Source organism: Homo sapiens, chromosome 21 (genome assembly GCF_000001405.40).
Source record: "Homo sapiens chromosome 21, GRCh38.p14 Primary Assembly".
NCBI classification, from domain to species: domain Eukaryota; kingdom Metazoa; phylum Chordata; class Mammalia; order Primates; family Hominidae; genus Homo; species Homo sapiens.
This window is the reverse complement of record NC_000021.9, coordinates 26,226,903-26,238,641: the sequence shown is the minus strand read 5'-3', so window position 1 is coordinate 26,238,641 and position 11,739 is coordinate 26,226,903. Positions and strand designations below refer to the sequence as shown.

The window sequence follows — 11,739 nt, the reverse complement described above, 5'->3', positions numbered from 1 at the left end:
ATTTCAGTATATAGTTAATAACCACTTCAAATTGCCACTCCAGAAGAAACTACTCTTACCTAATTGCCTGCCAAGGCTCATAAAGCTCTTCTGCATCATTGGCAATTCATTGGTCTATTGATATCAAAACTCACATTGATATTTTCTGGCTCTCATATTTCACTTGCTCTGATGTTCATTTCCTTTGCTTTTTAACACCTAGTAGTTCCAAAATTAAGAGACATGCCTTGGCTATATAATTTTTAGTAGGCTCTACACAACTCTTCCTACGCAACAAGATTTTTTTCTTTCTTTATACCACACACATGTATGCTGCACATACACACATATGCACACGTGTCTGCACACACAAAGGCAGGCACAAGAACACACACTTTTACTGGCTCCTCCAAGAGGAATATTCTTATTAGATGGATACATTTCATTTTCATATTGATCTACTGTGTCTTTTAAAGCTACTCCAAAACCTCTTTATATGACATACTGGTGATCAAATTGCTTTATCTCAGAATGCCAGAATTTTTGCAAGATCACAGCTAATGAGTTAGTTTCCAGCATGGTGTTACAAAACTCACTTCCCAGAACCAAATCATATCCGTCAGTTCTTTTCACAGTAGCACTCCACTTCTCTGCTGGTAGAGAGTGTCATGCAGTGGCCAGCACCGTGCTATGAGAAACAGTCTCACATCAGGACAGCACCATCATTTTCCCCAGTTGACTCTACTTGGTGTGAAGAAAGGACGTTCACACCTGCCAATTTGGCCAAATTTCATCCTTTCATGCCTCACTCCAATTAGTTTAACATTCTCTCGAGGAAAGCGAGAGTGTGAAAAGCTGTCTTCTGGCAGTGACCTGATTGTCCTCCACTACCCTAGAGGAAGACAGCATTCATCCTCACTAGTGAGATGGAGAGAAGTTTGAGACATGACGGGAGATTATTCCTGTAGGGAGAAAAGCATCCTTGGATGCGTCAATTCACTGATAGCTCAGCAAACATGTCTACCCATCTCCAGGTGGGTCGAGCTCCTCATTCTTCTTCATGCCTCTTCCTGAGACATTCAATGACCCAAGCAAAGGGTGGAAACGTCATCGTTGAAGATTGTGTAACTCTAGGCTGAGCAGTTTAGCTGCCACAAAGAAATTCATCATTGTACAGAAATCAGTGAACTTCAGCTACAAACAGCCACGTCGAGCACAGCTCATAATTCTGATTGAAACATGTACCATTTTATCATTTTCCATTAAGTGGCTAATACTTCACACCAATTACCTTTGCCTTAAAAGTCCAATCTTTTAAAAGCCTGTACTGCTTACAGGTATAAGCTATTGAATATAAAATCTTGTTTGTACCTATCTCACAGATCTTAAAGGAACACAAGAGAGCCAACTGTATGATTAAATAATAATCAAGGAACTGTTGGCAAAATAATTTTCTCCATGAAAGATTCCTCACGAACCTTCTCAGCCCAACCAGTTGCTCCCTGGGTTTCTCAGCGAGGACTGCTACTGCCTCTGCTATATTTTCTCTGACAGTCATGTGAACTTTTAATTATTTCTAGTTGTTGCTTCTTGAAGAGTCATATTCTTGAAAATTTCAAAAGAAATGTTATTGCCATCAAGTGAGCACCCAGCATTAATGTTAAGCGATGTGCCTTGGGGGAGAAGAACCTGGGATCTAAATGCAGTGAGCTTTTCCCAGGGGTATATGAGTAGCGAGGGAGAGGATGGACAGGAGTGTGGTTGGGTGGGCATGGGCAGGGGTGAAAACAAAAATGAGCATAAATACAATCTGGGATGAAGGGCCAATCTTTCCCCCAGTTTGACGGTAAAAAGAAATGAAAATGAAACCTAAAATGTCCAAGATATGCGCAATATAAGTGTACTGACTCCCACACTTGGATGTAGCAATGTCATATTGCTATCAAAGACTATCAAATTGCTATCTCAAGGCTTACTCGCAATTACTTGTCTAGGACATAGAAAGCAATTCGCAGGCCAAGTACCTCGTCTCTCCAGTGAAACCTGCAGTCATTTCGTGGTGGCCTGCTGGTATGATAGGTCTGGTTGAATTTTAGGATCTGGATTTTCAGTCTTCACCAGCTGTGACCCCCCAGGGAGCACCCTCTTTGCTCTGGGCTGCTGCATTTCAGCCATGCAGCTGTTCTCATCCTCAGGAAAGTCCAGAACTCTGATTCACAGATGAGAAAAGCCTTTCTCAATCTTTGTTTGAGGATCCTGCCCAATTTTTGCCAAGCTTTCTTTTACTCATCTAGAGATTTCCATGGTCATAGAGCCCAGGGACCTGTTCCCCGCTCCTGGGTAGGACAGCTTCATAAAAACATGCTTTCTCTAACTGCAAACAACTGGCTTAACTTCTTGGGAAGCTCAATTTCCTTATCTATGCTTTTGGACATGCTGAAACACCCATTTTATGTGGAATAAAATGATGAATGATGAGCTCTATGGTCTAAATTCCTTGCTCTCCCCTTAAGCTTGTAATGTATTCCGGAGTTGTTCCAGGGCCCACTTCAATCCCTCCCCATCATGGTAGGTTTTCAGTCTGGAAAATACAAGTTATTCTCAGTACTTTTGCAGAGCTTGGGTGATTTACATACCCCACACATATCAATGCTGTCCTTGACCAGTCCAAATCTCTAATTTTGCTTCTAACTGCAGGATGCTAACTCTTGCCACCCGCAATCTTAGTACAAATATTTGACATCAATCTTTTACTTTTTTTAAGCACAAAATTTTGTTTTTTTTCTCCCCTCCCCACAGATCCCATCTCAAATCATTCTGTTAACCACCATTCCAACAGGTCGAGGAGAGCTTAAACACCTTCTTCCTCTGCCTTGTTTCTATTTTTTTATTTTTTTGCATCAGTATTAATGTTTTTGCATACTCTCCATCTTTATCCAAAAATGTAAACTTCCTTTGTCAATCTATGGATATGCCCATATATGAAAGAGATGGGTGGGTCAAAAAGGGATATCAAATGAAGTGATAGGGGTCACAATGGGGAAATGGAAGTGGTACATAACATTGCCAAAATAATGTGCCACTAGAAATGGTGTAAAGGCTGTCTTTTTTTTTAAGAAAAGTTATTACCATGTATTTTGTGAGGCAGGTTTACAACACTACAAGTCTTGACTAAGAAGGAAAGAGGAAAAAAGAAAAAACACCAATACCCATATTTAAAAAAAAAAAAATGATCATAGTCTTAGGAGTTCATTTAAACCATAGGAACTTTTCACTTATCTCATGTTAGGTGTACCAGTCAGTGATTAAGTAGAACTACAAGTTATATAGGCTGTATTGTTTATTGCTGGTTTATGACCTTAATAAAGTGTAATTATGTATTACCAGCAGGGTGTTTTTAACTGTGACTATTGTATAAAAACAAATCTTGATATCCAGAAGCACATGAAGTTTGCGACTTTCCACCCTGCCCATTTTTGTAAAACTGCAGTCATCTTGGACCTTTTAAACACAAATTTTAAACTCAACCAAGCTGTGATAAGCGGAATGGTTACTGTTTATACTGTGGTATGTTTTTGATTACAGCAGATAATGCTTTCTTTTCCAGTCATCTTTGAGAATAAAGGAAAAAAAAAATCTTCAGATGCAATGGTTTTGTGTAGCATCTTGTCTATCATGTTTTGTAAATGCTGGAGAAGCGTCGACCAATTTGACTTAGAGATGGAATGTAACTTTGCTTACAAAAATTGCTATTAAACTCCTACTTAAGGTGTTCTAATTTTCTGTGAGCACACTAAAAACAAAAATATATGTGAATAAAATATACAGATTTGTTGCGTTTCTTTATGTTCTAATAATACTGAGACTTCTAGGTCTTAGGTTAATTTTTAGGAAGATCTTGTATGCCATCAAGAGTAAATTTTCTTGTGGTTCTTAATCTGAAGTTTTCAAGCTCTGAAATTCATAATCTGCCATGGCAGATTATGTAGAGGAAGATCTTAGAACATTCCATGTCAAATCTGTTACCATTTATTGGCATTTAGTTTTCATTTAAGAATTGAACATAATTATTTGTATTGTAGTTATATGGCATGTCAGATTAAATCATTTACAACAAAAGGGTTGTGAACCTAAGACTACTTAAATGTCTTATGAGAAAATTTCATAAAGCCATTCTCCTGTCATTCAGGTCCAGAAACAAATTTTAAACTGAGTGAGAGTCTATAGAATCCATACTGCAGATGGATTGTGAAATGTGGCCAAATGTGTTTCAAAAATTGATGGTGTATTACCTGCTATTATAATTGCTTAGTGCTTGGCTAATTTCCAAATTATTGCCTAATATGTTACACCTTAAGAAAACCGTTTTATGTAACAAAGTAACGGTGTTGAATGGATGATGTCAATGCATGGGCCTTTAGCATAGTTTTAAGCAGTTTTTTCTTGAAAGCGTGTTAGCATCTTGTTACTCAAAGGATAAGATAGACAATAACACTTCACTGCATATTAATAATCTTAACTAGTTTACCTCCTCTGCTCTTTACCACCCGATAACTGGATATCTTTTTCTTCACTGGACCCTAAACTGAATTGAATTTGAAGATATGTATCAAAAACCATTATTTCATGTAACGCACATCTGTGTTGCTGTTTTTGAGCAGTGTGCAGTTTAGGGTTCATGATAAATCACTGAACCACATGTGTAAAAACTGAATGCCAAATCTTAAACACATTAGAAAAATAACAAATTAGCTTTTGACGCATGCTTTTAATTGGAATAATGGATCAAAAATAGAGGTTCACGACCTTACCAAACACCCTTGCTACTAATAAAATCAAATAACACTTAGAAGGGTATGTATTTTTAGTTAGGGTTTCTTGATCTTGGGGATGTTTGAAAGTTAAAAATTGCATTTGGTAATCAAAGGATTGATTTATGGGTCTTTCCTATCTTAACCAACTTTTTCTTAGTTACCTAGATGGCCAAGTCCAGTGCCTGATATGTAGTAAGACTCAGTAAAAAAAAGTGGATTTTAAAAAATAACTCCCAAAGTGAATAGTCAAAAATCCTGCGTAGCAAACTGTTATATATTGCTAAGTTTGTTCTTTTAACAGCTGGAATTTATTAAGATGCATTATTTTGATTTTATTCACTGCATAAAACACTTTGGGTGGTGTCAGGCCTCTGAGCCTAAGCTAAGCCATCATATCCCCTGTGACTTGCACATACACATCCAGATAGCTGGTTCCTGCCTTAACTGATGACATTCCACCACAAAAGAAATGAAAATGGCTTGTTCCTGCCTTAACTGATGACATTGTCTTGTGAAATTCCTTCTCCTGGCTCATCCTGGCTCAAAAGCTCCCCTGCTGAGCACCTTGTGACCCCCCCACTCCTGCCCACCAGAGAACAACCCCCCTTTTTCCTTTACCTACCCAACTCCTATAAAACGGCCCCACTCCTATCTCCCTTCGCTGACTCTCTTTTCGGACTCAGCCCGCCTGCACCCAGGTGAAATAAACAGCTTTATTGCTCACACAAAGCCTGTTTGGTGGTCTCTTCACATGGACACGAGTGAAATTTGGTGTTGGTGCCGTGACTCGGAGTGGGGGACCTCCCTTGGGAGATCAATCCCCTGTCCTCCTGCTCTTTGCTCCGTGAAAAAGATCCACCTATGACCTCGGGTCCTCAGACCCACCAGCCCAAGGAACATCTCACCAATTTCAAATCCGGTAAGCAGCCTCTTTTTACTCTCTTCTCCAACCTCCCTCACTATCTCTCAACCTCTTTCTCCTTTCAATCTTGGCACCACACTTCAATCTCTCCCTTCTCTTAATTTCAATTCCTTTCACTTTCTGGTAGAGACAAAGGAGACACATTTTATCCACGGACCCAAAACTCCGGTGCCGGTCATGGACTCGGGAAGGCAGCCTTCCCTTGGTGTTTAATCATTGCAAGGATGCCTCTCTGATTATTCACCCACATTCCATTGGTGTCTGATCTCCGCAGGGACACCTGCCTTGGTCATTCACCCACGTTCCCTTGGTGGCAAGTCAATTGCGGGGATGCCTGCTTTGGCTGCTCCCCATCCCCTACTCCACGTCTCTACCCTTCTCTTTAAACTTGCCTCCTTCACTATAGGCAACATTCCACCCTCCATTCCTCCTTCTTCTCCCTTAGTCTGTGTTCTTAAGAACTTAAAACCTCTTCAACTCTCGCCTGACCTAAAATCTAAGCGTCTTATTTTCTTCTGCAATGCTGCTTGACCCCAATACAAATTCGACGGTAGTTCCAAATAGCCAGAAAATGGCACTTTCAATTTTTCCATCCTACAAGATCTAAATAATTCTTGTCATAAAATAGGCAAACGGTCTGAGGTGCCTGACGTCCAGCCATTCTTTTACACATCAATCCCTCCTTAGTCTCTGTTCCCAATGCAACTAGTCCCAAATCTTCCTTCTTTCCCTCCTGCCTGTCCCCTCAGTCCCAACCCCAGGTGTCACTGAGTCTTTCTAATAGTCCTTTTCTACAGACTCATCTGACTTCTCCCCTCCTCGCCAGGCTAAGTCCCAATTCTTCCTCAGCCTCTGCTCCTCCACCCTATAATCCTTTTATCACCTCCCCTCCTCACACCTGGTCTGGCTTCCAGTTTCATTCTGTGACTAGCCTTCCCCCACCTGCCCAGCAATTTCCTCTTAAAAAGGTGGCTAGAGCTAAAGGCATAGTCAAGGTTAATGCTCCTTTTTCTTTATCCCAAATCAGATAGCGTTTAGGCTCTTTTTCATCAAATATAAAAACCCAGCCCAGTTCATGGCTCGTTTGGCAGCAACCCTGAGATGCTTTACAGCCCTAGACCCTGAAAGGTCAAAAGGCCGTCTTATTCTCAATATACATTTTATTACCCAATCTCCTCCCGACATTAAATAAAACTCCAAAAATTAAATTCCGGCCCTCAAACTCCACAACAGGACTTAATTAACCTCGCCTTCAAGGTGTACAATAATAGAGTAGAGGCAGCCAAGTAGCAACATATTTCTGAGTTGCAATTCCTTGCCTCCACTATGAGACAAACCCCAGCCACATCTCCAGCACACAAGAACTTCTAAACGCCTAAACCTCAGTGGCCAGGCATTCCTCCAGGCCTGCCTCCCCCAGGAGCTTGCTACAAGCTCTGGAAATCTGGCCACTGGGCCAAGGAATGCCCACAGCCCAAGATTCCTCCTAAGCTGTGTCCCATCTGTGCAGGACCCCACTGAAAATCGGACTGTTCAACTCACCTGGCAGCCACTTCCAGAGCCCCTGGAACTCTGGCCCAAGGCTCTCTGACTCCTTCCCAGATCTTCTCAGCTTAGCAGCTGAAGACTGATACTGCCGGATTGCCTCAGAAGCCTACAAGACCATCACAGACGCTCTAGGTAACTCTCACAGTGGAAGGTAAGTCCATCCCCTTCTTAATCAATACGGAGGCTACCCACTCCACATTACCTTCTTTTCAAAGGCCTGTTTCCCTTGCCTCCATAACTGTTGTATTGACAGCCAGGTTTCTAAACCTCTTAAAACTCCCCAGCTCTGGTGCCAACTTAGACAATACTCTTTTAAGCAATCCTTTTAGTTATCCCCACCTGCCCAGTTCCCTTATTAGGCCGAGATATTTTAACTAAATTATCTGCTTCCCTGACTATTCCTGGGCTACAGACACACCTCATTGCCACCTTTTCCCCCAGTTCAAAGCCTCCTTCACATCCTCCCCTTATATCTCCCCACCTTAACCCACAAGTATAAGATACCTCTACTCCCTCCTTAGCGACCTATAATCCACCCCTTACCATCTCATTAAAACCTAATCACCCTTACCCCGCTCAGTACCAATATCCCATCCCACAGCACGCTTTAAAAGGATTAAAGCCTGTTATCACTCACCTGTTACAGCATGGCCTTTTAAAGCCTATAAACTCTCCTTACAATTCCTCCATTTTACCTGTCCTAGAACCAGACAAGCCTTACAGGTTAGTTCAGGATCTGCACCTTATCAACCAAATTATTTTGCCTATCCACCCTATGGTGCCAAACCCATATACTCTCCTATCCTCAATACCTCCCTCCACAACCCATTATTCTGTTCTAGATCTCAAACATGCTTTCTTTACTATTCCTTTGCACCCTTCATCCCAGCCTCTCTTCGCTTTCACTTGGACTGACCCTGACACCCATCAGGCTCAGCAAATTACCTGGGCTGTACTGCTGCAAGCTTCACAGACAGCCCCCATTACTTCAGTCAAGCCCAAATTTCTTCCTCAGCTGTTACCTATCTCAGCGTAATTCTCATAAAAACACACGTGCTCTCCCTGCTGATCCTGTTCAGCTGATATCTCAAACCCCAACAGCTATAAAACGACAACTCCTTTCCTTCCTGGGCATGGTTAGACACTTTCGACTTTAGATACCTGGTTTTGCTATCCTAACAAAACCATTATATAAACTCACAAAAAGAAACCTAGCTGACCCCATAGATCCTAAATCCTTTCCCCATTCCTCTTTCCGTTCCTTGAAGACAGCTTTAGAGACTGCCCCCACCCTAGCTCTCCCTGACAAATCCCAACCCTTTTCATTACCCACAGCCAAAGTGCAGGCCTGTGCAGTTAGAATTCTTACACAAGAACCAGGACTACACCCTGTAGCCTTTTTATCCAAACAACTTGACCTTACTGTTTTGCCTAGCCCTCAAGTCTGCGTGCAGTGGCCACCACTGCCCTAATACTTTTAGAGGCCCTTAAAATCACAAACTATGCTCAACTCACTCTCAACAGTTCTCATAACTTCCTCACACCTGACGCATATACTTTCTGCTCCCCAGCTATTTTCTTCCTCACACCTGACGCATATACTTTCTGCTCCCCAGCTCCTTCAGCTGTACTCACTCTTTGTTGAGTCTCCCACAATTACCATTGTTCCTGGTCCGGACTTCAATCCGGCCTCCCACATTATTCCTGATACCACACCTGACCCCTATGACTGTATCTCTCTGATGCACCTGACATTCCACCCCATTTCCCCATATTTCCTTCTTTCCTATTCCTCACCCTGATCACACTTAGTTTATTGATGGCAGTTCCACCAGGCCTAATCACCACACCAGCAAAGGCAGGCTATGCTATAGTATAAGCCACTAGCCCGCCTCTTAGAACCTCTCATTTCCTTTCCATCGTAGAAATCTATCCTCAAGGAAATAACTTCTCAGTGTTCCATCTGCTATTCTACTACCCCTCAGGGATTATTCAGGCCCCCTCCCTTCCCTACACATCAAGCTCAAGGATTTGCCCCCACCCAGGACTGGGAAAGTAGCTTTACTCAACATGCCCTGAGTCAGGAAACTAAAATACCTCTTAGTCTAGGTAGACACTTTCACTGGATAGGTAGAGGCCTTTCCCACAGGGTCTGAAAAGGTCACCGCAGTCATTTCTTCCCCTCTGTCACACATAATTCCTCGCTTTGGCCTTCCCACCTCTATACAGTCCAATAGCAGACCGGCTTTTCAGGCTCTTGGTATTCAGTGAAACCTTTATACCCCTTACGGTCCTCAGTCTTCAGAAAAGGTAGAACAGACTAATAGTCTTTTAAAAACACACCTCACCAAGCTCAGCCACCAACTTAAAAAGAACTGGACAGTACTTTTACCACTTTCCCTTCTCAGAATTCAGGCCTGTCCTCGGAATCCTACAAGGTACAGCACATTTAAGCTCCTGTATGGACGCTCCTTTTTATTAGGCCCCAGTCTTATTCCAGACACCAGACCAACTTAAGACTGTGCCCCAAAAAAACTTGTCATCCCTACTATCTTCTGTCTAGTCATACTCCTGTTCACTGTTCTCAACTACTCATACGTGCCCTGCTCTTGTTTACACTGCCAGTTTACACTGTTTCTCCAAGCTATCACAGCTGATATCTCCTGGTGCTATCCCCAAACTGCCACTCTTAACTCTTAAATAAATAATCTTTGCTGGCAGAACTATGCTAAATCTCCTTAAGCACTCTCTAATTACATGTCCTAGGTCCTCCCCATTCTTAGAACTTTAATACCTGGTTTTCTCCTTCTCTTATTCCATTTAGTTTTTCAATTCATATAAAACCGTATCCAGGCCATCACCAATAATTCTACATGACAAATGTTTCTTCCAATAACCCCACAATATCACCCCTTACCACAAAATCTTCCTTCAGCTTAATCTCTCCCACTCCAGGTTCCCACGCCTCCCCTAATCCTGAGAAACATCACCCATTCTCTCTCTCCATACCACCCCCTGCCAAAAATGTTTCGCCGCCCCAACACTTCGACACTATTTTGTTTTATTCTTCTTATTAATATAAGAAGACAGGAACGTCAGGCCTCTGAGCCCAAGCTAAGCCATCATATCCCCTGTGACCTGCACATACACATCCAGATGGCCGGTTCCTGCCTTAACTGATGACATTCCACCACAAAAGAAGTGAAAATGGCCTGTTCCTGCCTTAACTGATGACATTGTCTTGTGAAATTCCTTCTCCTGGCTCATCCTGGCTCAAAAAGCTCCCCCACTGAGCACCTTGTGACCCCCACTCCTGCCCACCAGAGAACAACCCCCCTTTTTCCTTTACCTACCCAAATCCTATAAAACGGCCCCACCCCTATCTCCCTTCGCTGACTCTCTTTTTGGACTCAGCCCGCCCGCCTGCACCCAGGTGAAATAAACAGCTTTATTGCTCACACAACGCCTGTTTGGTGGTCTCTTCACACGGACGCGAGTGAAAGGTGGTATTGAGAGAGTTGGTGGATTTTCCTCCAAGTGATTAAACGAAATTTGACTTATCTTTTCATCCAAAGTTTTGTACATCATGTTTTCTAACGGGAAAAAAATGTTAATATGGCTTTTTTGTATTACTAAAAATAGCTTCGAGATTAAGGAAAAATAAATAACTCTTGTACAGTTCAGTATTGTCTATTAAATCTGTATTGGCAGTATGTATAATGGCATTTGCTGTGGTTCCAAAATATTTCCTCTGGATTATAATAATCATTTGATCCAATTCCTGTTGCTTGTAAAATAAAGTTTTACCAGTTGATATAAAAAAAATTGACATCAAAAACCCTACCCACACATTCAGGAATGCTCTCATACGTAGTGACAGGAGAACTGTTCTCGTACATGCTTTCAGGAAGAAAGATGGAAGATTTATGGACTTTCAGCAGAATTTTTCCTGACTCTTGGAGTCTGTCTAGACAGACACAGGGAAGATTTATTTTCTGACTGTCCCTTTTATGTGCAAGCTCAGTCATCTGCAACTCAGCTAATCAGAAAGGTCAGTGGTACCTTCTGAGCAAAGCAGAGAAATAGACCCTAGCCAAAGTGGAAATCTACATATTACTGATGACTGTGCCACACTGAAGCAGTGGGAGGACTAAGAGTAATGCTTATGCCTAGTGGAGAGCTTTTGTGGGAAATTTTTTAAGGCAAAAGAGTGAATGCTACTGCTGGAGAGGTCACTGTCAGCAAGCTTTGCAAAATTAATAATATAGCATGGCTGGTCCCACATTTCACTGTTTCCATGGGTGGGAAAGGGATGACTGCATTATGAATAAAGGAAAATTATAGGACTAAGAAAGAAAAGATGAAGTCTAAAATATTCCCAGCTCAAAAACAAACTGTATCTGAGCATACGGAGCTACAAAATGCCACCTAACTCTTCTCCAGTGCAATGAAGGGCACTAAATTTTGTAAGCATTT

At 42.0% G+C, this 11,739-nt stretch overlaps 1 pseudogene; it reads left to right on the top strand.

The window, feature by feature from the left end:
* Positions 2,728-11,082, top strand: MARCKSP1 (myristoylated alanine rich protein kinase C substrate pseudogene 1; annotated as a pseudogene).